Source organism: Homo sapiens, chromosome 5, assembly GCF_000001405.40.
Source record: "Homo sapiens chromosome 5, GRCh38.p14 Primary Assembly".
Classification (NCBI taxonomy): Eukaryota; Metazoa; Chordata; class Mammalia; order Primates; family Hominidae; genus Homo; species Homo sapiens.
Window position 1 is genome coordinate 173,772,812 of NC_000005.10, and position 21,461 is coordinate 173,794,272.

Genomic DNA, 21,461 nt, shown 5'->3' on the forward strand with positions numbered 1-21,461 from the left:
CTCTGTGATGAAGGGGCTGATCATAATAGCCCCACTTTAGAGATGCAGAGACTGAGGCCTGGGAGGCTTCAGAAATTTGCCAAAGGCCCACACAGCCAGCCAACAACAGAGACTGAATGTGAACTGGCTGCGGAAATGAACACAGACACACAAAGATAGCCAGCCTGAAAGAAGCTGGACTTCACAGCGGAGCTCTCTGACTGCTGATCTTTGAAAAGTTGAGGCTGGGCACAATGGCTCATGCCTGTAACTCCAGCACTTTGGGAGGCTGAGATAGGAGGATTGCTTGAGCCCAGGAGTTCAAGACTAGCCTGGGGAACATAGAAAGACTCAGAGACCCTGTCTCTACAAATATATATATATATTTTTAAATTAGCCAGGCATGGTAGTGCACACCTGTAGTCCCAACTACTCAGGAGGCTGAGACAGGAAGATCGCTTGAGCCCAGGAGGTTGAGGCTGCAGTGAGCTATGATTGCACCACTGTACTCCAGCCTGGTGGATAGTGAGACCTTGTCTCAAAAAATAAAAAAGTAAAGTAAAAGAAAAGTTGAGGTCATATTTCTTTATTCAACATTCCTGCAACACGTTTTACTGAGCAGCCTGCCATATGCCATGTGCCACTCTCCATGCAGGGGAGCGCCCCACGAGCAAGGCCCATGGGGGTCGCTCTCATAGGACCGATCTAGTCCACAAGACAGGCACCAAGTCAGCAACTGAACAAGCAGGCAGGATCATTTTAGGCTGTGACAAGGTGTCATGAAGGAAATACAGTGGGGGGCATGAGGCCGGGTGCGGTGGCTCAAGCCTGTAATCCCAGCACTTTGGGAGGCCAAGGTGGGTGGATCACGAGGTCAGGAGATTGAGACCATCCTGGCTAACACGGTGAAACCCCGTCTGTACTAAAAGTACAAAAAAAATTAGCCGGACGTGGTGGCGGGCGCCTGTAGTCCCAGCTACTCGGGAGGCTGAGGCAGGAGAATGGCGTGAACCCAGGAGGCGGAGCTTGCAGTGATCCGAGATTGCGCCACTGCACTCCAGCCTGGGTGACAGAGTGAGACTCTGTCTCAAAGAAGAAAAAAAAAAGAGAGAAAGAAACGGGCGATGCTCAGGGAAGCCTTCCTGAACGGGAGGGTCTCTGGGCTGAGGGGATTGAGGCTTGCTGTAGGCTTTCCCGACCTTGGCACTGTGGACATTGTGGATCCCATAACTCTTTGTTGGGGGGTTGGCCTATGCATTATAAGATGTTTAGCCGCATCCTTGGCCTTTACCCACGAGATGCCAGTAGCATCCCATTTTCCAGGGTGACAACCAAAAAATGCCCCCAGACATTGCCAGGTGTTCCCCTGGAGGGCAAAACCACCTCCAGTTGAGAACCCCTGAGTCACGAGACTGGCAAAGCGGACAACATGGGATGAAGGAATAGCCAGGCGGGCTGCAAAGCTGCTCAAAGTGTTTGAGATCCAGGAAGAAGGCTGGTTTGGCTGGAGGGCAATGGGCCAGGGAAGGATGGCAGGATCATCATGGCCACTTGCTCTGTGAAACTCTCCAGAAAGTACTCAGCAACATTCATGGAGTCCCTTTGCTGTGCCAGGCATTGTACTAGCTGTGCCCAAGGACACAGCACATGCTCCAAGGTGATAATAGTCGGGTGGCTGGATAAGACACAACAGCTGTCAGCCTGATGCTATCCATGGTAACAGAATATTCTGGACCAAAAGCAAGCAGAGAGGCACTCCAAGGGCAGTGGCCATGGTGAAAAAGATGCTGGAGAAGGCAATGTCTGGGCCCCTTTTTGAAGAGGAGAGAGCAGGCAGCTGTGGCCTTCACCTTCCCAGCTCCCGCCCCTCCATTGCCCATAGCAACTGCCTGTCCCCATGCCCAGCTGCACGCGGTTTTGGTGGAATTTCTAATTATGGTGCCCTGCTAGACTGGCCAAGGGGCTGGCATGAGACCCAAGCTTGGCCACCATATACTTTCTTCCTGGAATCAGGATATTGGCCAGAGAAACCCAAGGGCATTGAATGGCTAGAGTCAGTTTTTCTAATGGAAGTGGAACAAAGCATGTTCTTTTGTTCTGGCATAATTTTTTGACTATCTCAACTCCCTAAGAAGCAATTGTTTCTCTCTCTTCCAAGGCCTATTTTTCAGCTTTTCCTTCCAAAGCCCTTTCAATACACCTCTATTTAATTCACCAGAGTGGGTTTCCAATGTTTGAAACCCCAATTAAAATAGAAACAGTATAATGTGAACAGGGATAAGAGAGTGTAGGTTTCTGATTCACTGTGCTCACCACTTTACATTAAATAAGCTGTGTGTCCCTCTCTCTCCTAGTTACAAGCAGGATGCTTTGCCAAGGCCTGACTGTGTCTTTTTCTCTTCATATCCACAGTGCCCAGCTCAGGGTTGACTTCTCCTCTGCACCTGCCATGGTTTATAATTATGCATTTCTTTGTGGGATAATTTGTTTAATGTCATCTACTCTATGTTGGAAGTCCCATGAAAATAGAATGCATGGAGCCCAATTTATTAGGAAGACCAACTGTCCCAATTTGCCTGGGGTGGGGTGGGGGATTTCTGAGACATGGCTTCCAGGGCTAAAATCAGGAAAGTCCAGGGCAAATTGGAGCAGTGCCCACCCTACCAGTGTCTGGCATATAGGAAGTCTTCAAGCACCAGTTGTCCCGGTCACTCAAGGAATATATGTTGAGATGAACGGAGGCAAACTGCAGCACAGCAGAAGGCATATTCTTTCATGCAAAAACATTTCTTCATGCCTGCTGTGTGCCAGGTAACCAGCTTGTCAGAAGCAGAAGATTCAAGGAAGGAAATCCCAGCAGCCAGGGCTGCCATAGGATTGTAGGTTGAAATCACACTGCATGAGGTCTTGAGCATCAGGCTAAGAAACCAGCATGCAGCACCCAGATGAGGCAGGTCCCCTCTGATTTAGGAGAAGGGAGGAGATATGAAAACATAGTAATTTAGGAATGATGCATTGGCAGCGCCTCCCAGGGACTCTGATAAGGAAACCACTGCAGGAGGAATCCGCAGGGGCTACTGAAACAGGGGACAGAACCTGAAGTGAGCGGGTTATTTGGTTGTTTCTTTCCAAATTCTGCACTGGGCAGAGAGAGGGTTTAGCAACTTCCTTTTTCGTCTCAAGCACAGCCATCTGCTCAGTTCAACAAGCAGAAAATCCACCCCCAGGAAACGTGAATTTATTTGTGGGTATGTGATGGATCCTACGTCTTTACTCCTTAGGAAGATTCAGCTACACAACCCATGCCACGGGGCCATCCTCTTGATAGGTTTCAACTCTGTTGCTGAGCGGATGAGAACACGTTTATGTGCAGGTGCTATCGACAGTGTTTTTGTCTGCCTGCCCCCAACCCAGTCTTATATTGAAAGTGAACCCCCAGGCAATGGTATTAGTAGGGAGGCCTTTGGGAGGTGATTAGGTCATGAGGGTGGAGCCCCATTGATGAGATTAGTGCCCTTAGAAAGAGACCCCAGAGAGCTGCCTGGCCTCTTCTGCCATGTGAGGGCACAGCAAGAAGGAGCTGTCTGTGAACCACAAAGCAGACCCTCGTCAGATTCCAAACTGCCAGTGACTGATCTTCAACTTCCAGCCTCCAAAACTGCGAGGAATAAATTTCTGTAGTTTATAAGCCACCCAGTCTATGGTATTCTGCTATGGCAGCCTGGAATGACCAAGACAGCAGCCAAATGAACTTTTGGATGGGGCCTCGCAGACTTTCAGGGCCTGGAGATCCTCTGAGAAGAACATCTCTCTAATTCGGCTCCCTCATTTCAAAGCAGGGAAAGAATCTTATTTGCATGATATAATAAGCAAGAAGCTGGGGCTGGGCTGCTCTCTCTTTAACTCTTCTCAATAAAGAACTGAATCATACAATAGGGAGCCCCTTGCCCCTGGGGAGTAGGGGAAAGTGAAAAGACAGGGAAACAAATAGATTGCATCCTGTGGTAAGAGAGTTTTTCTCCTGTGAAAATTCTCTTTCAATCCTTGTCATTACACCAAGAAGAAAATCTCACTTTGGTACTAATAGGTCTTTAACGCCTCCCTCAAACTTTAACACCTCTCCAAATCTCCCTTTCAAATGGGAATCAAACAGGCCTCAAGCCCAGAGTCTTCCACAGGCAACCCTATTCCTCTAGAATTAAATATTCTAGAGTTTCATAATATCATTTTATTTTCGTGGTATATCTTTTTCTGGATAGCTTCTATTTGTAGCAGGTGGGATTGGCTTTCCATCTATGGTAGTAAGTTTTCCTTTTGAAGAAATGTATTTTAAGTTTTAAATGGGAGACAAGTTGAGGAAAAATAATGAGGGAAAGACTAGACCACATGATATGCAGTGATAGCAAAATTATCGGTAGACCTTAAACCATTGAAGTTTGAAAGCAGGAGTGGAGGACAGAGGGATGGGCTGGTGACCCTGGGGCCGCTCACCAGAGCAGGCTCCACACATGTTATTAAGCAAATGTCAAGCCTGAAATTTAAAAGGTGGCTCTTTAAATGAATTAGAGTCAGAGACACTGGAAAGTGCCAGGAAATTCTTCACGTGACCTTGAACAGACAGAAACCTCCTGAGATGAGAGAGTACAGGTCTATTATTTGACTTGGCAAAGGACCCTTCTGGTGGATAGGGGTGTCCCTTCTCTAAAAAATGATGTGCAGTGCATTTCTGTATGTTTCCTGTGAATAACCACTGAGGCACCAGCAAGGGGAGTCATGGGGGTAGAAGGACAGCCGCGGTAGCCATCACCCATTGAGACCCTGCTCAGCTCTGCCTGTGCTGCCAGGAGCCTCACCTCACCCTTTCAACAGCCCTTTCATGCTGATGCTAGTAACCTCTGACGCTTATGGAGCACACACTGTATGCCAACATCTCTTCAAAGCCTTCATTCATTCATTTAATCCAAACAGTAACCCAAGGAGACCATCATTATTACTCCCACTTTACAGATCAGAAAACTGAGGTGGAAAGGGTAGGTCACAGCTGGTGGTCAGTGGTAGAGGCAGATTCAAGCCCAGACATTCCGGCTCCAGAGCCTACACTCCAACTTTGTGGAGGGGAGTGACAGAGGAGGATGCACAGCTACTAAATTGTAAAGTCAGCAAAACCATCCTCCCCAAGGTGGCATTTCCCCCAAAAGCAAGCTATTGCATTAATTCAACAAATGTTTGTTGAGCATCTACTATGTGGGAAAGACCCTCTTTTTGTTCCAGTCATCGGCAGCTGGGGGCTCTAGGTCCATCCCTGCCCTCCCCGAAGCAGGAGAGTAACCTTGTAGACTTCCTGTTAGGGCCCTGGGGTCTCTGGGTGAATTTGATGCAGACTCAGCCATTAGCCTGGCTGGGCCACAAAATCAGGAAGCTTAGACCAGTGTTGTGGAACCTTGATTCCTGTCCCAGTTTTGTCATTTCCTGCCTCAGCCTCTTTGCAACTCCCGGCCTCAATTGCCTCACCTCCAAAATGGAGGTCTTAATGACAATGGTCTGGCTTCACTCACAGGGTTATCGTGAAAATCAAAAGAGATTGCTCAGGGAAAAGCCTCTTCAAACTGGAGCTCCAGGTGATGGTTGTCATCTGTCGATGTTGCTCTCTGGTGAGTTCTTTAAAAATGGAAATTACTGTTTGTTTCTAATTACAAAAGTTCAGGAGTTACAGAATAGCACACAGATTTTTAAACACGGTTTATTACCCCACTACTTGTTAATAATCTCTACTAACCTGTTGGTGTATTTCCTTCCGGATACATAAAGAGAGTTGAACCCTGAACGATATGGAAGTTGGGGTGTTGACCCCCCTCAGAGTTGAAAATCTGCATACAACTTTTGACTCCCCAAAACACTACAGATAGCCTACTGTTGACTGCAAGCCTTGCTGAGAACATAAACAGTCAATTAACATATTTTGTATGTTATATGTATTGTATACTGTATTCTTACAATAAAGGAAGCTAGAGTAAAGAAAATGTTATTGAGAAAATCATAAGGAAGAGAAAGTATATTTACGTTCACTACGCAGAAGTGACTCAGCATAAAGGTCTTCACCCTTGTCATCATCAACTCGAGTAGGCTGAGGAGGAGGAAAAGGAGTGGTTGGTCCTGCTCTCTCAGGGGTGGCAGAGGTGGAAGAAAAGTCACCTGTAAGTGGACCTGTGCAGTTCAAACCTGTGTTGTTTGAAGGTCAACTGTATGATGATTGCCTACATAGAACCCGGTAGCTTTCTACAGCACTTGGAAGGAAATCCACACTCCTTATCAACACTTCACCTTGACTTTCAGTCTGTGTGATCTGGCCCTGCTTGCCTCTCCTACCTCTTCTCTCTCTACTCACACATTATTTCTCTTTCTTTTTCCCTCCTAATACACCAATGGCATTTCCCCTCAAGGCCTTCGCCTCTTTGCCTGAAATGCTCTGGATTTCATGACTCTGGAAATCATGACTGGATTTTTTTTTTTTCAGCGTGCAAGTCATGGCCGAAATGTCACCTCCTTGGATAGTCCCTCCATCTTCACGCACACTAAACTAGTCCATCTTGCATGCCTTTCTTCATGGCATTGTGTGCCATGCTCAGAAATTATCTTGTGTATTCTTAAGTCCATATATGTATTACCTGTCTTTCCCTAAACAACTTCCCACCCTGAGCTTGTTCCTGTCCATATTCCCAGTACCCAGAATGGTGCTTGGCATACAGCACATCTTCATTACATAGTTAATAAGTGAATGAATTGGATTAATGTACTTGTGAGCTAGGATCATACTATATTTAATGTTTTTATAACTGATTTTTCCCTGCTATGGTGTGACCACCTTGACTTTGAATGGAAGTGTAGCATTCCCTTGTATGGGTGGATCAAAATTTCTTTTCTTTTCTTTTTTTTTTTTTTTTTGAGACTGAATCTCACTCTATCACCCAGGCTGGAGTGCAGTGGCACGATCTCTGCTCACTGCAACCTCTGCCTCCCAGGTTCAAGTGATTCTTGTGCCTCAGCCTCCTGAATAGCTGGGATTATAGGCACACACCATCATGCCAGGCTAATTTTTGTAGAGACGGGGTTTCACCATATTGGCTCGAATTCCTGACCTCAGGTGATCTGCCTGCCTCAGCCTCCAAAAGTGCTGGGATTACAGCCATGAGCCACTGCACCCGGCCTGGATCATAATTTTTAACTAAGCCCCCATTACTGACTAGGTGGGACATTTCTGATTCTTGTGTTTGTAAGTTAATACTACATTCTACAGTGACCATCTTTGTCCATACACACATTTTCTCATCTCTCCATGACCACTTCCCTTGGATTAATTCCTAGCAGTAAAATTGAGGGAACAAAGGGTTACATCGTTTTAATCCTCTTCATATATATTACCATGGTCTGCAGAAAGGTTGTATCATCTCTGAGTTTGCTGTAATGGCCCTTAGCTTGTGGGCTTCTCAGCAGAATGCTCTGAAGACCATGGAAATATCATTGTCTCCTCTTACCCAGGAGAGTAAAGGTTGAGGCCCTCCAGCAAGACAGATCATGCCCACTTACTCTGCAGAAACTTCCTCCCTTTCCAATAACAGGAACAACTCCTAGCTCTGCTGCTCAGGCCCAATGTGTGATACACAGGAATCCCCTAAGCAGTGATGTTCCGAAGTTAGAAGTCACCCCAGCCAGGCTGAAGAGCTTATCATTCAAGAAGCTAATACCAGCCAGCCAGACTGTGCCAGCTCAACCTTCCTCCTTTTGTTCTCCAAAGCACACCTTGCCTTGGTTACCTGACCTTCACTAAGCTCAGCCCATATTTGGCCAAACCATCTGGGCCTCTGCTCAACGTGCCTTTGCTTTGTTACCTGTTCCACATCATTTTTCAAGGTCTAGCTTTACTCCCCACCTAAACTTTCACCTTCTAGAAAGCCCCTTTTCATAGTACAGCTCTCAGGGAGATCTCCCAGCCCAGAACTGCCCATAACTCTGATTACCAGCCTCTCCGTCAGCATTTGCCCATCTAACCACTTTGTGTTGTTTATATACCTTTGTGCATGAGTAACTCTAAATTTTCAACTGAGTGTTTTTCTCTCTCTGGGAGCTCACGCATAGTGTGACAGTCAGAACCTTTGAGATAATCAGGGCTGGGATTGAGCCTCAACTCTGCCACCCACTAGTTCTGTGCATTTGGGCAGCACAGTCAACTCTACTGAGCCTCAGTTGCTCCATCTATAAAATGGGGGTTACTATAGCACGAATTTGAAAAGATTGCTCCAAGAATTCGATGCATGCAAAATACTTAGCATAGTGCCTCCCACAGAATGATTATTAAAAAATCAGCAGCAGGCCGGGAGCGGTGGCTCATGCCTGCAATCCCAGCACTTTGGGAGGCTGAGGCGGGCAGATTGCCTAAGCTCAGGAGTTCGTGATTAGCTTTGGCAACATGGTGAAACATCGTCTCTACTAAAATACAAAAAATTAGCCACCCGAGATGGTGTGCCCCTGTGGTCCCAGCTATTTGGGAGGCTGAGGCAGGAGAATTGCTTGAACCCGAGACGTGGAGCTTGCAGTGAGCCGAGATGGCACCACTGCACTTCAGCCTCGGTGACAGAGTGAAACTCCGTCTTAAAAAACAAAAACAAAAACAAAAAACAGCAACAAAATGGGGATATTCATCCTAATTTTGTTTTTCTAGACCTCTACAAAGGCTGAGCCAGTAATGTGTACAATGTTAAAAGAAATATTTGTGGAATGGAATGAGCGGATGTTGTGTAAACATTCATTGTGCGTGTACGTATTTAGTTCTACTAACCAGAACACTGGGGGACCAGAACCAGTTACCCCAGTGTCTAGAGAGGAGGAAAGAAATCTCTCTCCTTAGCTGAAACCTTAGTAAGAGCTCAGTCCAGAGCTTGCTTGAAAGTAAAGATATGTCATCCAATTTAATCCCCACACCAACCTTACAGAAAGATCTTTTTATATCCTTATGCTAAGAAGACCTACCACTGACTGTGCCAGATCTGTGCAAGATGCTTTTGAAAAATGTAATTCCCTTTAAGCCCTCACACTATCTCAATGAGACAAGAATTATTATTACTGAAGAGGAAATGGGGTCAGAAAGTTTAAGTGAACTGCTCAAGGGCAAATGGGTAGTAAGAGAAGAAAGAAGATGAGTCAGGATTGAACAGAGGCTTACTCTGTTCAAATAAATAAAATTAAATTAAAACGGTTGCCTCTTCACCAACTGATTCCCTGACATTCTCACATGCGTTCAGTTGGTGCTTAATAGGAACTGAATTGAAATCTCATGGTGATCTGTTAGAGACTTGGATCTTCTAATAGATGCTTCAAAGGGAGCAGTTTCTATTTCCGGTGCCCACGGAGATCTCGAGGGAGATTTCTCCCCACCCCTGCTCTGACGTCACGATGTTCTTGTTTTTCTCTGGGCCCTGTGACTCAGCACATGGCTCCAGATGGCTTCCTGCATTTCCAGCCTGTTGGCTGGGGTGCCCAGGCCCTGGTAAAGTAAGCAAACCAAAACTAAGTTGCAACAAAGCATCAACACCTCCCTGCCCCTGCCCTCTGTTATGAAGTCTTTGTAGTCCACTACTCATGATGGCCAGTCCCTCCATTTCTCCCCTCCCTCCTTGCCCTGAGATCCCCACACTTGGCCCCAGCACATCTGATGCCTGAAGATGAGATCCAGGAGTGATCATTCTCCCAGCAACCAGTGAATGGGCAAAGGGGCAGTTCTTTCACCCTTTGATCCTTTATTGACTTTAGGCAATTTACTTTCTCAGCCTCAGTGATCAAATGGGGACGCTAATATTGTCTACTTCTGAGGGTTGTAGAGTTAGGGTTGCCAGATAAAATACAGAAAGTCCAGTTACATTTGAATGTCAGATAAATGATGATTTTTTTCAGTACGCATGTCCCAAATATTGCTCAAATTTAACTGTGTGTCTCATGACTTTATTTGTTAAATCTGGCAACCTTATGTGGAGTGTGGAGTCAGATAACAAACGCAAAAATGCTTTGTCACCTACAGAAAGCTGTACACTTCATGATATCTTTTCCATGAGACGTATGCATGTGTACCCATGACAACCAGCTTTGTCTGGAGCATAGAACAGGTAGTTTCAGGCAGGTAGTGGAGAATGTGTACCACCTGAGTCTATGATTTGAGATCCCTGGGTCTTGTTTGTCAATGGACTGATCTTTGCACATTTCGCTTCTGAGCCCTCAATGCATCCATCTTGAATTCTCTCAAATGCTTGAATGAAAAATATAGGAGCAACAGAAGCCCAAAAGGTTGCCTATTACTGATTGACTGGCATGTGTCATAGGCCAAATCTCCTTTTGATTTTGTGGTTAAAGAAGAAACAAGTAGAATAATTTATAAGTGTAAATCCTTATTTATTACATGCTTTATTATGTAATAAAGAATGTATGTGCACAACATTTAGCTCTAATATGTTCTAAGAGCCCTGCTTAACACAGAAAAACAAAAGGAACCAGCATACCATAAATAGACTACAGTGTTTATTTTTGATTTGGGGTGTCTCCTCCTACTAGAAATCTAAATTCTGAGAGGAAAGATTTTTGCCTGTTTTGTTCCCCAGGACTGAGAACAGTGCCTGGCCCAGGAAGGGTGGATATTTGATCAGTTGAAACCAGTTTAACTAGCTACATTAAAGAAAAATAAATGCAGTGAGGCACAGAGGCTCATGCCTGTTATCTCAGCAATTTGAGAGGCTGAGGTGGGAGTATCGCTTGAGCCAAGGAGTTCAAGACCTGCCTGGGCAACAAAGCAAGACCCTGTCTCTGCAAAAAAATAAAAAAATTAGCCAGATGTGGTGGTGCATGTCTGTGGTCCCAGTTACATGGGAGCCTGGAGCGGGAGGATCCCTTGAGCCCAGGATGTCAAGGCTACAGTTAGCCATGTTCATGCCACTGCACTTCAGCCTGGATGACAGAGCAAGACACTGTCAAAGAAAGAAAGAAAGAAAGAAAGAAAGAAAGAAAGAAAGAAAGAAAGAAAGAAAGAAAGAAAGAAAGAAGGAAGGAAGGAAGGAAGGAAGGAAGGAAGGAAGGAAGGAAGGAAGGAAGGAAGGAAGGAAGGAAAGAAAGAAAAAGAAAGAAAGAAAGAGAGGAAGGAAGGAAGGAAGGAAGAGAGAGAGAAAGGAAAGAAAGGAAAGAAAGAAAGGCAGGCAGGCATGGGAAAGAAACCTTTCTGGAACTAATCCACCTCCCTTTCTTGCTAAGGTATAGTCATAGCCCTAAGTTTTTTAGAGTGATTTACACCACCTCCCAAAGGAGTCTCCACTAACCATGACCCATTCACTCAAGTGTCCAGCGACCCAGGTTGCTTGATATGCCTTTCCCCAAACTCCCCAAAGAGCTGCTGCTATGTGTTTTTATTTTTTAACAAATGTGCCATTGGCTCCCAAGGCAGTAATGAGTGCCGAGTACTGAGTATTTGGATTCCATCACTGGCTGGCATCACCAACAAAAGAAGTTCAGGCCCCTGCAGGGACTCCTTGGAGAACTCTTGGGGCTTGCCTCTTAGAAGCAACTCTCTGACGGAGAGCCTGACATTATCGGTGACTAGAAGCAGCTTTGCCAAGTCTTGCTGCTGCATTTGGGTCCCATTACCCCCGTGGCCATCCTTCACTTCTATGTTTGTTCAGCTGCCACTGTTCCAGCATTCTCCCCCCATCATTCTCAAAGCTGCCCCCTCTTCTTCATCCCCATCACCTGCCCTAGTCCAGGCTTCCCCATCTCTTCCAGGCCTGTTTTATTTCCCTGCCTATAGACTTTGCTTTCCAAATCCATCTTCCCCACTGTCCCAGAGCAATCCTTTTGAGAACCATGTCTCAGCAGCTGTTGACTTGTCCCACGGCTCCCATTCTATGAGCTTTAGGAAGCCAGATGCTCTTCCTAAAACGTTTCCATGTTTCTCTGTGGGAGATGAGTAGAGATGGGAGCTATATTCTCATGGTCGTTTCTGGCTTGCTTCCACTGAATTAGTTTAGTATAGGAATCAGTCACCTTGCATGGATGTGTGCACACACACACACACACACAAGCACGCACACACATATACCTATCAGGTGCCATCCAATCACACATCACATCCACCCAGATGTGGCTTTGGCCCCTTTCCCCTATTTTTCACACCAGAAGGCTCATGCTGGTTATTTTTGTGAGCATCAGGCTTTTCTGAATATTTCTGGATGGAGAAATTCACATGTCAGCAAGATATCAACTTCAGTGTTTTCAATTATATACTTTTAAATATAACATACACGGTTTCATTCTCTTCATTAAAAAATAGGGAGAAGGAAAGGATAGAGATTTGTTAAAGGATACAAAATTACTAGATGGCTAGATAGGACGAAGAAGTTGTAGTGTTCTATAGCATTGCAGGATGACTATAGTTAATATATAATATAGTATATAGTTTCAAATAGCTAGATGGAGGATATTGAATGCTCCCAACACAAAGATATGATAAAGGTTTGAGACGATGGATATGCTAATTACCCTGATCTGATCACTATATATTATATGTACCAAAACATCACTATGTACCCCATGAATATGTATAATTATTATTTGTCAATTTCAAAGAAAAAAGAGTTAAAGCATCAGAGATAACGCTGAGGAGGTGGACCAGGAAGGAGGAGCCTGGTTTCTTCATATCACCACGGAGTCTCCAGCCAGCCTGGGACTACTTACCTCTCGGGCTTCCTGTTGCAAGATATAAATAACCTGCTACATGTTGGGCGGCTGTGAGCAGGTTTTCTGTTCCCTGCAGCTGACAATGCTATCTGAGACACTCCCACCTACCACTGAGCCTCCCTTGTCTTCCACCATCACTTTAGCTTCTTACCAGTCTTTATTTTTCTACCTAGTACTTCATCACTGGCTGACAAGGTATGATTTTTGAATTGCTCACAAGTTGGTCTCTATTTTCCCATGAGAATGTAAGCTCCACGTGGAGAAGGAGTTGGTCTTGTTCCCATGTTATCTGTAAGGCCTAATACAATACCTGGCTCATAGCAGGTGTTTGATAAGTGTTTGTCAAATAAATGAATGAATGCAGATTTGATCACCTTCCTCCCCTTTCAGAAGATAAAATCCAAACTACTCAGATAGGCAAACGGTCATTCCTGCCCTGGACACTACCTGCTCCACCCACCTTGTACCAAGCTCCATGTCTACACCCTCTGCTGGGCCTTTGCACAGGCTGTTCTCTCACATGCATTAATTGAGCATCTTCTATATGTCAGGTGCCCTTTTAGGCATGGGAGATAACTCAATGAACCAGCCAGCTGCAGTTTCCACCCAATGGAGCTCAGCAGAAAGGAGAGACGTAGGCCGGCAGTACAGTGTGGTCAGTCACAGTGCAAGGTGGGATACAGGGAATTAAGAGCTCCTCAGTGTCTAAGTAGCAAACTCCAATTCATTTTTTAAGGCCCAGCTCCAATGTCCCGTCTTCTAGGAAGGCTTTTCCTAGACCCTGTGTTGGAGCAGATGCTCCTGGTGCTCCCTAAGCCCCTTGGCCTTCTGCTGCCACTGAACGCAGCCCACTCTTTTGTCTTTGCCTGGGTCTTTGTGCGCCTCTCCAGGCAGCCTGTGAGCCATAGGGCCAGGAGCCCTGTCTTATTGTCTCCATAGCCCCAAGGCCCAGTGCAGGGCTAGACGTGGCAGTTTTTATTGGATTCAGCTACTGACTGGTCCCTTCCTTGGCTTGCTCTTCTCCTCTCCAGCCCCCTTCACTTGCTCAAGTTTCAGGTTTCAGGCTGACTCTGTCTCTCCTTTTCACACTTAGGTCCCCAGACATTTCTTTGTCTTGTTCTGAATTAACCCTTCCTCTTTCGAGGGAAGCTCGGGGAGGGGAAGTGCCAGCTTTCTCTTGGCTGGCTAGCAAAGCTTAGATGAAAGGCCAGAAAAAGGTATCCAAACTCTCAGCAATTGTTTTCCTGCTTTTATTATTCTTTATTCCTCAGGCTAGGCCCCTCCTTCCCTCCTTGCTTTCTCTGTCTTGCATTGTCACCCAACCATACTCCCTTCCCAGAATGTGACAGACTCCTCACACCTCTGCACCTCTGCACCTGCTGCTTCCCTCCGCCAGAGACGCTGTTCCCCCACCATCACTTCCTGATGAAAGCTGCCACACTCTGTGAAGCCAAGTACCCATGCTACTTTCTCAATATGGCTCCTCCCATGTCCCCTTCCCCATCCCCAAGCACAATAAATCGCTCCCACGGTGCTCTGTGCTTCCTTGGCTGTAGCTGGATCCCATGACATTCTGGTGGGTCATCCATGGTCACATCCTCTCAGATGTGAGCTCTTCATCACCTGGATCAGTGAGAAGTCTGTGCCCAATCTCTCTTTGTCCTTCCAGTGCTCAGCATAGAGCTTGCCACGCTATAGAACCAAATAGACGATTGTTGCTTTGGGTGGCTGAGGTCTTAGGCAAGGGAGTGAGAAGGAGTGGCCACCCTTCCTGGTAACAGCACCTTATTTGCTTCTGGAGAACCATCTTCCCCACTTTCCATCCATCTGGCTTGAATAGGACTGACCGAAATGCACGGCAGGGCATATGACCCAAGACAACCCCATTGGACAGCGCATCCCCTGACCTGAGAGATTGCTCAGTGATGGGCATGTCACCCAAGCCTGGCCCATGAGATCATGGCAACAAAATTAAAGATGAGCTTGGAAATTGAGTGGAGGGCAGATGAGGGCAGGAGGAAAAGGATAAACCAAAACTAGAATTTGTGCCTTATAGCCATGAAGTCTAAGATATTTGAGAGAGTCTGGCCACACTCATGGCTCTGTGTTCCCAAGGGATCAAAGTGTTCTTACCTCACAATCTGCTCTTGTTGTGGGAGGATCTTGATTGGGCCTTCTTGTTGGCAGTACCTAGAGTTGAAAGAAGCAAGACATGACAGTGAGCTGTGGAGAAAGAGCATGCATTTTGGAGTCAGACGATCTGAGCTCAAATTTTAGCTCTGCTACTTACTGGCTGCACACAAGTCCCTTGTCTCCCTGACGCTTGGTGCCTTCATCAGTGAGACATGAAAATCGATTTGTAAGGTCACATTCACAAATAAAACATGCATGCAAATAGCAGTTAGTCATCTACTGCAGTGATTCCATTGTAATTCTGAGTTGGTAGTCTGCTAAAATCATCTAAGGTAGGAGATGTGGAAGTGGATGATGAGGCTTAAGCTATGGCAGAGAGTAAGAATGGAGAGGAAGGTAGAATAAATATTATCCAGGGAATATTAGTCAGAAATCTTCTGTTTGCAATTGACAGAAACCCCACTTGAAAGCATGCTTCACCGGGCGCGGTGGCTCACACCTGTAATCCCAGCACTTTGGGAGGCTGAGGCGGGTGGATCACAAGGTCAGGAGTTCAAGACCAGCCTGGCCAATATGGTGAAACCCTATCTCTACTAAAAATACAAAAATTAGCCTGGCGTGGTGGCACATGCCTGTAGTTTCAGCTACTCAGGAGGCTGAGGCAGAAGACTCACTTGAACCGGGGAGGCAGAGGTTGCAGTGAGCTGAGATTGAAATCACACCACTGCAGTCCAGCCTGGACAACAGAGCAAGACTGTGTCTGAAAATAAATAAATAAATGAAATGAAAACAAAAGCATGCTTAAGCAAAAAAGAATCAGTCCACACAGCTCAGAGGTGCATGGCCAGGAGGCTAGGTCTCTGCCTAGTACCCCATTATGGTCCTGCTTTCCTGTGGGGTGACCTGATTCTCTGATTCTCCACTGTGCACATGGAGGCCCCAGCTGTTCCAGGCTGGCATATTTGCACAGTGAGCAATCCCTATAGGAAAAGAGAGGGTCTCTTCCCCCGCATTTCTCACAAAAGTCTTGGAACTGATCCTCAATGGCCACTCTTCCATCATGCTCCCATCCTAGAGCCCATGATGGGCATGAGAGATATTCTGATTGGCTGAGCCTGGGTCCTTAGTGCTGGGGGTAGGGGGGTTGAGGGGTGCAGAGAGGAGAGAATCCAACCTCACCTTAACTACAAAGAGTGAGAGTGGAGAAGGGGATCTCTGGGGTGCTGTCACTCAAAGAAGTGAGGTATACCAGGCAAATATAAAAAACAGGTGTGTCTTCCAGAAGGAGTTTAGCCATCCAAGGAAGGTTTGGAAGTGGAAGGCCAGGAAATCAATAGAGTCAGCACTAACCAGGCGGTTTTGAGCTTGTAGCCCCTGTCTTTGGTCTCCAGCAGGCCTCACAAGCATGACTCAGTGGTGAGGCTGCCGCACATGTGGTTTTGAAACCAACCTTTCCCCTTGGCCCCAGCAGTGCGTTGGCGTGTCCCTGGGGCTGGTCCCAGTGCCCGCCTGGAAATGCCCTTGGTTTGGGCCCCTGCCTGAATCTCTGGAAAGGTCTTTGATCTCCTCACCCCAGCTCTTCCATTGGCTTCCTCCTCACCCTGGGACAAAGTCTGGCAATTGCTGAGGAAAAGGCCAAATGCCACCTTGCAATTTGCTGGGTCATCCTGGAACAAGTGCTGCTGGGGCTCCCTGTCCCTACCCAAGCAGAGGAAAGTTCAGGACAGTGGGCAGATGCCACCACCCCCAGAAATGAGTAAACCAGGAGGCTGGGCCTGGGGTGCTGGCTGAGACCCTGGCCAAGTGCTTATCCACAGTGATAAATGAGGTCATCATAGCTGCTAAGGTCAGTCCTCCTCGGGCATGTAAACAGCAAATAAGCTCATGATTGGAGAACACCCTTCGAGAGAGGAGGCTCCTGCATGCAGAAGATCCTTCCTGAGCACCTTCTGCCCTCCATGTCCGAGCTGCACACTGGAACAGAGAGGTGAATAAAACGTAATCACTACCCCAAATTGCTTGCCAGCAATGACAAGAGACAGACAGGTAGCAATCAGCCCACAGTACGGTACACAGAGTCTGTTTATAGAAGGACACTCTAGAGCTTGGGAAGTACAGAGGAGGCATGAAAGCTACAGCCGGGGGACAAGTGGGAGGGACCCAAGGAGCCAGGGACTAAGCTGGCACCTGAAGGAGAAAGCTGGTGGGGTGAAGAAAGGAGGGAAAAGCCATCCATCCTGGGTGGAAGCAGCATGTGCAAAAATGCAGTGGTTGCTCAGGGGCCTGTAAGTGGAGCCCAGGGCACCGGGAGAGGCGATGGAAAGAGGGGAGATTAGAGGGGAAGACGGGACCAGTGTTCTCAAGTTCTTTCATTGGGGCAGTGTCGAGGTCTGGTCCAGACTCATTCCCTCTGGTCCAGATCATTTTCTCTAAAACAATTAAACAGAAACTCATGCAGACCCAGTGTCTCCCTCCATAGGAAATCGTCTTAGCAAGGACTCGGCACTTTCTGGGAAAGCTAAAGGGATGTGTGACTTTCTGGGAAACCACATCCCAATATTTCCTGCATTCTCACCCCAGAGCCCCCAAATCAGGCTCGTTTCTAGGAAGTCAAATCAACAGTGGAGGTTTGGACTGTTGCAGCCGCCAGGTGGAAAGACACGCAGCCCCTGCACACCTGGGCTGGCTGGACAAAGTGGCCAGGCAGATGCGCAGGAAGGAAAGCCTGCAGGTGCTGAAGGCGCCCCCAGAAGAAAGACAAAACCATCTCTCCTTGTCCCCTTATTTTGTCATTTGAAACATCATTTAGGGGAAGGTGAAGGCCGTTTGGTCATATATTCCCAGCTGCGTGACCTTGGGACTTTCAGTTTCCTCAGCTGAAAAGGTGATGTGAGAATGCCCCTAGGTCTGGCAAGCCAAGCACCTGTGCGAGGAGATGCCAACTTACTCTTTTTTCTGAAGACCCTCCTCAGCAAAGCCCGAAAGTGCTCTCTCTCCCCACGCTGGAGACCAGTGTGCTCTCCAGACAGCAGGCTTTCCCTGGCAGGGTCACAAACCAAATGTCTAAGTATTAAAAGTTTTAAAGCAAGCTAACAAACTGCTAGATAAAATATAGCATACCTCCTCACACGATGGCAGAGCCTCCTAATGACCTGGAAGGCCAGATCAGAATGGCTAGACTCCTCGGAGTTTCACATTGGCATGCGGCAGCTACTTTCCCCGTTCTTCATGTTTTCCTGCACCGGGAGAAAAACAGAAACCGGGCACTCGGCCCACGTGGCCAAGCTCTACCCGGGTCCCACAAAGCAGCTGCCCTTTGTCCAGCCTTCAGGGCTGGAGCACCCACTGGCCATGTGGTTCACACTAGGGAAAATGGGAGAGGTCCAGGAGGCCTCAGAAGTGGGCATGGTCATTTGGACGGGGAACCCCAGGGTCCTGGGAATCCAGAGCGTCCTCTGGAAGGGAGGCATGTGAGTTCCAACTGGGCACAGCCCTTTGTTCCCCAAGACTCCTCACTCGCAGGGAGGGGCAGTGTCTAAGCAAGACCTTCTAAAATGCAGGGCCCAGGGCTGGAGCCCCTCTTACCCTGATCAGAGAGTGCTGGACAGGGAATTGGAGATGCAAGAATATTAGGGTTTTAATTAATTAATTAATTAATTAATTTATTTATTTATTTATTTTTTGAGACTGAGTCTAGCTCTGTCACCCAGGCTGAGTGCAGTGGCAAAATCTTGGCTCGCTGCAACCTCTGCCTCTGGATTCAAATGATTCTCCTGCCTCAGCCTCCTGAGTAGCTGGGATTACAGGTGCACGCCACCACACCCTGCTAATTTTTTTTTTTTGTACTTTTAGTAGAGACGAGCTTTCACCGTGCTGGACAGGCTGGTCTTGAATGCCTCACCTGCAATGACCTGCCTGCCTCAGCCTCCCAAAGTGCTGGCATTATAGATGTGAGCCACCACACCCGGCAGGAAATCAGCTTTTTTATTTTGCTATTTCCAAGTGAGATCTGAAGTAAGGCCCACAACGTTTCTGGCCCTTAGTCTTTCCCAGAGTCAACCAATTTAGTCTCTGTGCTTCCTTCTGGCTCTGGCCCAGGGTCCTAAAGCTGGTCCTGTCCTTCCTAAGGCCAGTGGATATGGGTCATCAGCTTTGTAAAACCTTTCTGCCTGGTGCCAGCACCTCCAGGGCTACAGTTAGCCTTAGTATTTGACACCTGGACTTCCCTCAGCAGCAGGCCTGGAACTGAAAAGCAAGCAAACGCATGCAAACCTTTTATTTCTTTCACCTGTGACCTGGGATCATGAACGCTGTGGAGTCCTGACCAGGCTCACCTATACCAGTGTCCAGGTCTTCCAGGCAGGACAGGCCTCCATCAGACCCATTCACAGATCTGGCTGGCTCTCCCAAGCCAGGTCTGTCATCAGGATCTTTAAAGAAAATCAATGAATGAAGCAAAATGAGAGGACAGAGGGCTGCTGGCTTAGTGCAGGGAAAAGCTGGTGTATGGGCCCGTAAGTTCTGCAGTGTTTGGACACAGATAAGGCCTTACACTGAATGTGGGGAGAGGAAGGGGACCAGAGGAGGAGGAGAATAATTATTACTGTTCAGTGAGTTTTTCCAGGTGCCATAATACGTGTTGCTTTTTTTTTTTTTTTTTTTTTAGATCAAGTCTCGCTCTGTCACCAGGCTGGAATGCAATGGTGCGATCTTGGCTCACTGCAACCTCTACCTCCCAGGTTCAAATGATTCTCCTGCCTCAGCCTCCCCAGTAGCTGGGACTACAGGTGTGCAGCACCATGCCCAGCTAGTTTTTTTTTTCTTTTTTTGTATTTTTAATAGAGGTGGGGTTTCACCCTGTTGGCCAGGATGGTTTCGATCTCCTGACCTTGTGAGCCACACGCCTTGGCCTCCCAAAGTGCTGGGATTGCAGGCGTGAGCCATCGCGCCTGTCCATGTTGCATTTTTTTTACCTCCATTTTCTCAGTAATGTAAGGACCTCATAGACCAGTGAAATCCTCTCCTTTCCAAGACCTCAATTTTGGGAGGTGACATAGGGCTGCTCACTTTTTATTTTGCCATGGAAAGACATTATAAAGCAAATATCCACTCAATTATTTATTCAGTTGACAAATACTTATCGAGGGTCTGCTCTGTGCCAGGCATTCTTTCAAGCCTTGGGATACAGCTGTGAACAAGACAGACAAAAATCCCTGCCCTCTTGGGAAGAGTCAGACAGTGGCCCAAGCAGGAACTAAATCATAGGTCAGATGGGCTAAGTGCTATGGAGGAAAAACAGGTCAGGCAAGGGGGAAAGGCACACTGTGGGTGGATGGCAATTTCCAATAGGGTGATCAGGGAAGGTGTCCTTGAAAAGGAGACGTGTGAGTTAAGTTCTGAAGCTAGTGAGGCAGTGAGTCTTGTGGGTGGGGGTGGGTGGGGGAGGACTCTAGGCAGAGGGAACAACAGCTCAAAGGCCCTTAGTCCTTTCCACTGAAAAAATAATCATCAAAGAAGGGACCAGGTGAGGTGGCACATGCCTACAATCCCAGCACTGGGAGGCCGAGGCAGGAGGATTGCTTGAGGCCAGGAGTTCAAGACTGTCGCTAAAAAGCATAAATTAGCCAGGCATGGCGGTGTGTGCCTATGGTCCCAGCTACAGGCTGAGGTGGGAGGATCGCTTGAGCTCAGGAGTTCAAGGCTGCAGTGAGCTGTGATTATGCCACTGCACTCCAGTCTGGGCAATAGAGTGAGACCCTGTTTCTGTAATAAAAATAGAATAATAATAAAGAAAGAATATAATCACAGAATAAGGGCCAATCCTTCTTAAGGGAGGGCAATTCGTGACCTATTATGTTGACATATATACACATACATATGGAGATACAGTAATTTGTCATTAGTTTATGTTGCATAGGGTAAGAACCTATCCCAAGTCAGTTTTTGTCTGCAGACCAGCATGTGGCAAGTTACTGTTATTGCATTTTACAGGTGAGGAATCCGAGCCTCAGAGAGGGAGTGGGCTTTGTCCGGCATCACGACAGCTGAAGCCCACAGGCTAGGATTTGAACCCAGATCCTGAAGACGCCAGGGCCTTTGCCCCTGTCCACTAGCTGTTGTGGCCTGCTTCACAACCATGTCTCCTGGCCCCCGCTCCAGGGCTCCATGACTGCTGATTAAAAGAACAGCTTTGCCATATGGTTTAACCTGATTTTTCCTCCTCCTTTTTCTTCCCCAGACTGCATGCCCAGGAAGGAGGCTGGGGCAATATGGACTGCACCTGAGCTAGCAGGACAGGGTGGGCAGGTGGGCAGGGCCGCAGACTTTGCTCCTTTTGGGAGATCCGTAGGCAGCTCCCCGGCGCTATGCCTACTGGGGCCTTCATGCTGGCATTTGGCCCAGTCAGGAAGTCTAGGCTAGGTGTGGCCTAGAAGACAGCATTGCCTCAAACCAACTCATGCCAGCGAGCACTGACTAGCCACCCACTCTGTGCCCAGCTCTGTGCTGGGAGCTTTGGAGGTTACTTCATGGAAATGAATCCCCTTAACAGCAGTGAAATGTAGGCAAGAGACCCATTGATTTGT

General features: G+C 47.3%; 2 long non-coding RNA genes across 3 annotated transcripts, besides 8 other annotated features; one reads left to right on the plus strand and one right to left on the minus strand.

Moving 5' to 3' along the window:
- Positions 4,959–6,158: an enhancer, noted in NCBI's record as "MED14-independent group 3 enhancer chr5:173204773-173205972 (GRCh37/hg19 assembly coordinates)". NCBI's record gives its function as "activates an origin of replication core promoter dependent on BRD2, BRD4, P300/CBP and CDK7 cofactors, and independent of MED14, by STARR-seq in HCT116 cells {active_cell/tissue: HCT116}" and the evidence as "EXISTENCE:reporter gene assay evidence [ECO:0000049][PMID:35650434]".
- Positions 4,959–6,254: a biological region, named in NCBI's record as "MED14-independent group 3 enhancer GRCh37_chr5:173204773-173205972".
- LOC107986482 (uncharacterized) lies at positions 5,465–21,073 on the plus strand. 2 transcript variants are annotated; one of them, XR_001743004.2, is made up of 2 exons: positions 5,465–5,630; positions 20,869–21,073. It is a non-coding gene; the product is annotated as an uncharacterized LOC107986482 (long non-coding RNA). The 2 variants fall into 2 exon arrangements; XR_001743005.2 differs by lacking the exon at positions 5,465–5,630 and adding an exon at positions 16,779–16,864.
- Positions 5,915–6,209: an enhancer, noted in NCBI's record as "tiled region #6355; K562 Activating DNase unmatched - State 5:Enh, and HepG2 Activating non-DNase unmatched - State 23:Low". NCBI's record gives its function as "activates a minimal TATA promoter and a strong SV40 promoter by Sharpr-MPRA in K562 cells, with weaker activity in HepG2 cells {active_cell/tissue: K562 | HepG2}" and the evidence as "EXISTENCE:reporter gene assay evidence [ECO:0000049][PMID:27701403]".
- Positions 6,035–6,254: an enhancer, noted in NCBI's record as "active region_23664". NCBI's record gives its function as "activates an Ori minimal core promoter by ATAC-STARR-seq in GM12878 lymphoblastoid cells {active_cell/tissue: GM12878}" and the evidence as "EXISTENCE:reporter gene assay evidence [ECO:0000049][PMID:35858748]".
- Positions 9,385–9,529: an enhancer, noted in NCBI's record as "145 bp enhancer 276 fragment used in the MPRA reporter construct; PK_construct_3110". NCBI's record gives its function as "activates an SV40 promoter by MPRA in HepG2 cells {active_cell/tissue: HepG2}" and the evidence as "EXISTENCE:reporter gene assay evidence [ECO:0000049][PMID:23512712]".
- Positions 9,452–9,462: a transcriptional cis regulatory region, noted in NCBI's record as "NFE2L2 motif; enhancer activity is reduced when this motif is scrambled". NCBI's record gives its function as "necessary for full MPRA enhancer 276 activity {active_cell/tissue: HepG2}" and the evidence as "EXISTENCE:site-directed mutagenesis evidence [ECO:0005528][PMID:23512712]".
- LINC01485 (long intergenic non-protein coding RNA 1485) lies at positions 13,979–18,131 on the minus strand. The gene is made up of 4 exons (NR_108028.1): positions 17,998–18,131; positions 17,825–17,916; positions 14,878–14,934; positions 13,979–14,436 (listed from the first exon to the last, which is right to left on the minus strand). It is a non-coding gene; the product is annotated as a long intergenic non-protein coding RNA 1485 (long non-coding RNA).
- Positions 14,044–14,123: an enhancer, noted in NCBI's record as "active region_23665". NCBI's record gives its function as "activates an Ori minimal core promoter by ATAC-STARR-seq in GM12878 lymphoblastoid cells {active_cell/tissue: GM12878}" and the evidence as "EXISTENCE:reporter gene assay evidence [ECO:0000049][PMID:35858748]".
- Positions 14,194–14,243: an enhancer, noted in NCBI's record as "active region_23666". NCBI's record gives its function as "activates an Ori minimal core promoter by ATAC-STARR-seq in GM12878 lymphoblastoid cells {active_cell/tissue: GM12878}" and the evidence as "EXISTENCE:reporter gene assay evidence [ECO:0000049][PMID:35858748]".
- Positions 21,074–21,461: the final 388 nt, after the last annotated feature.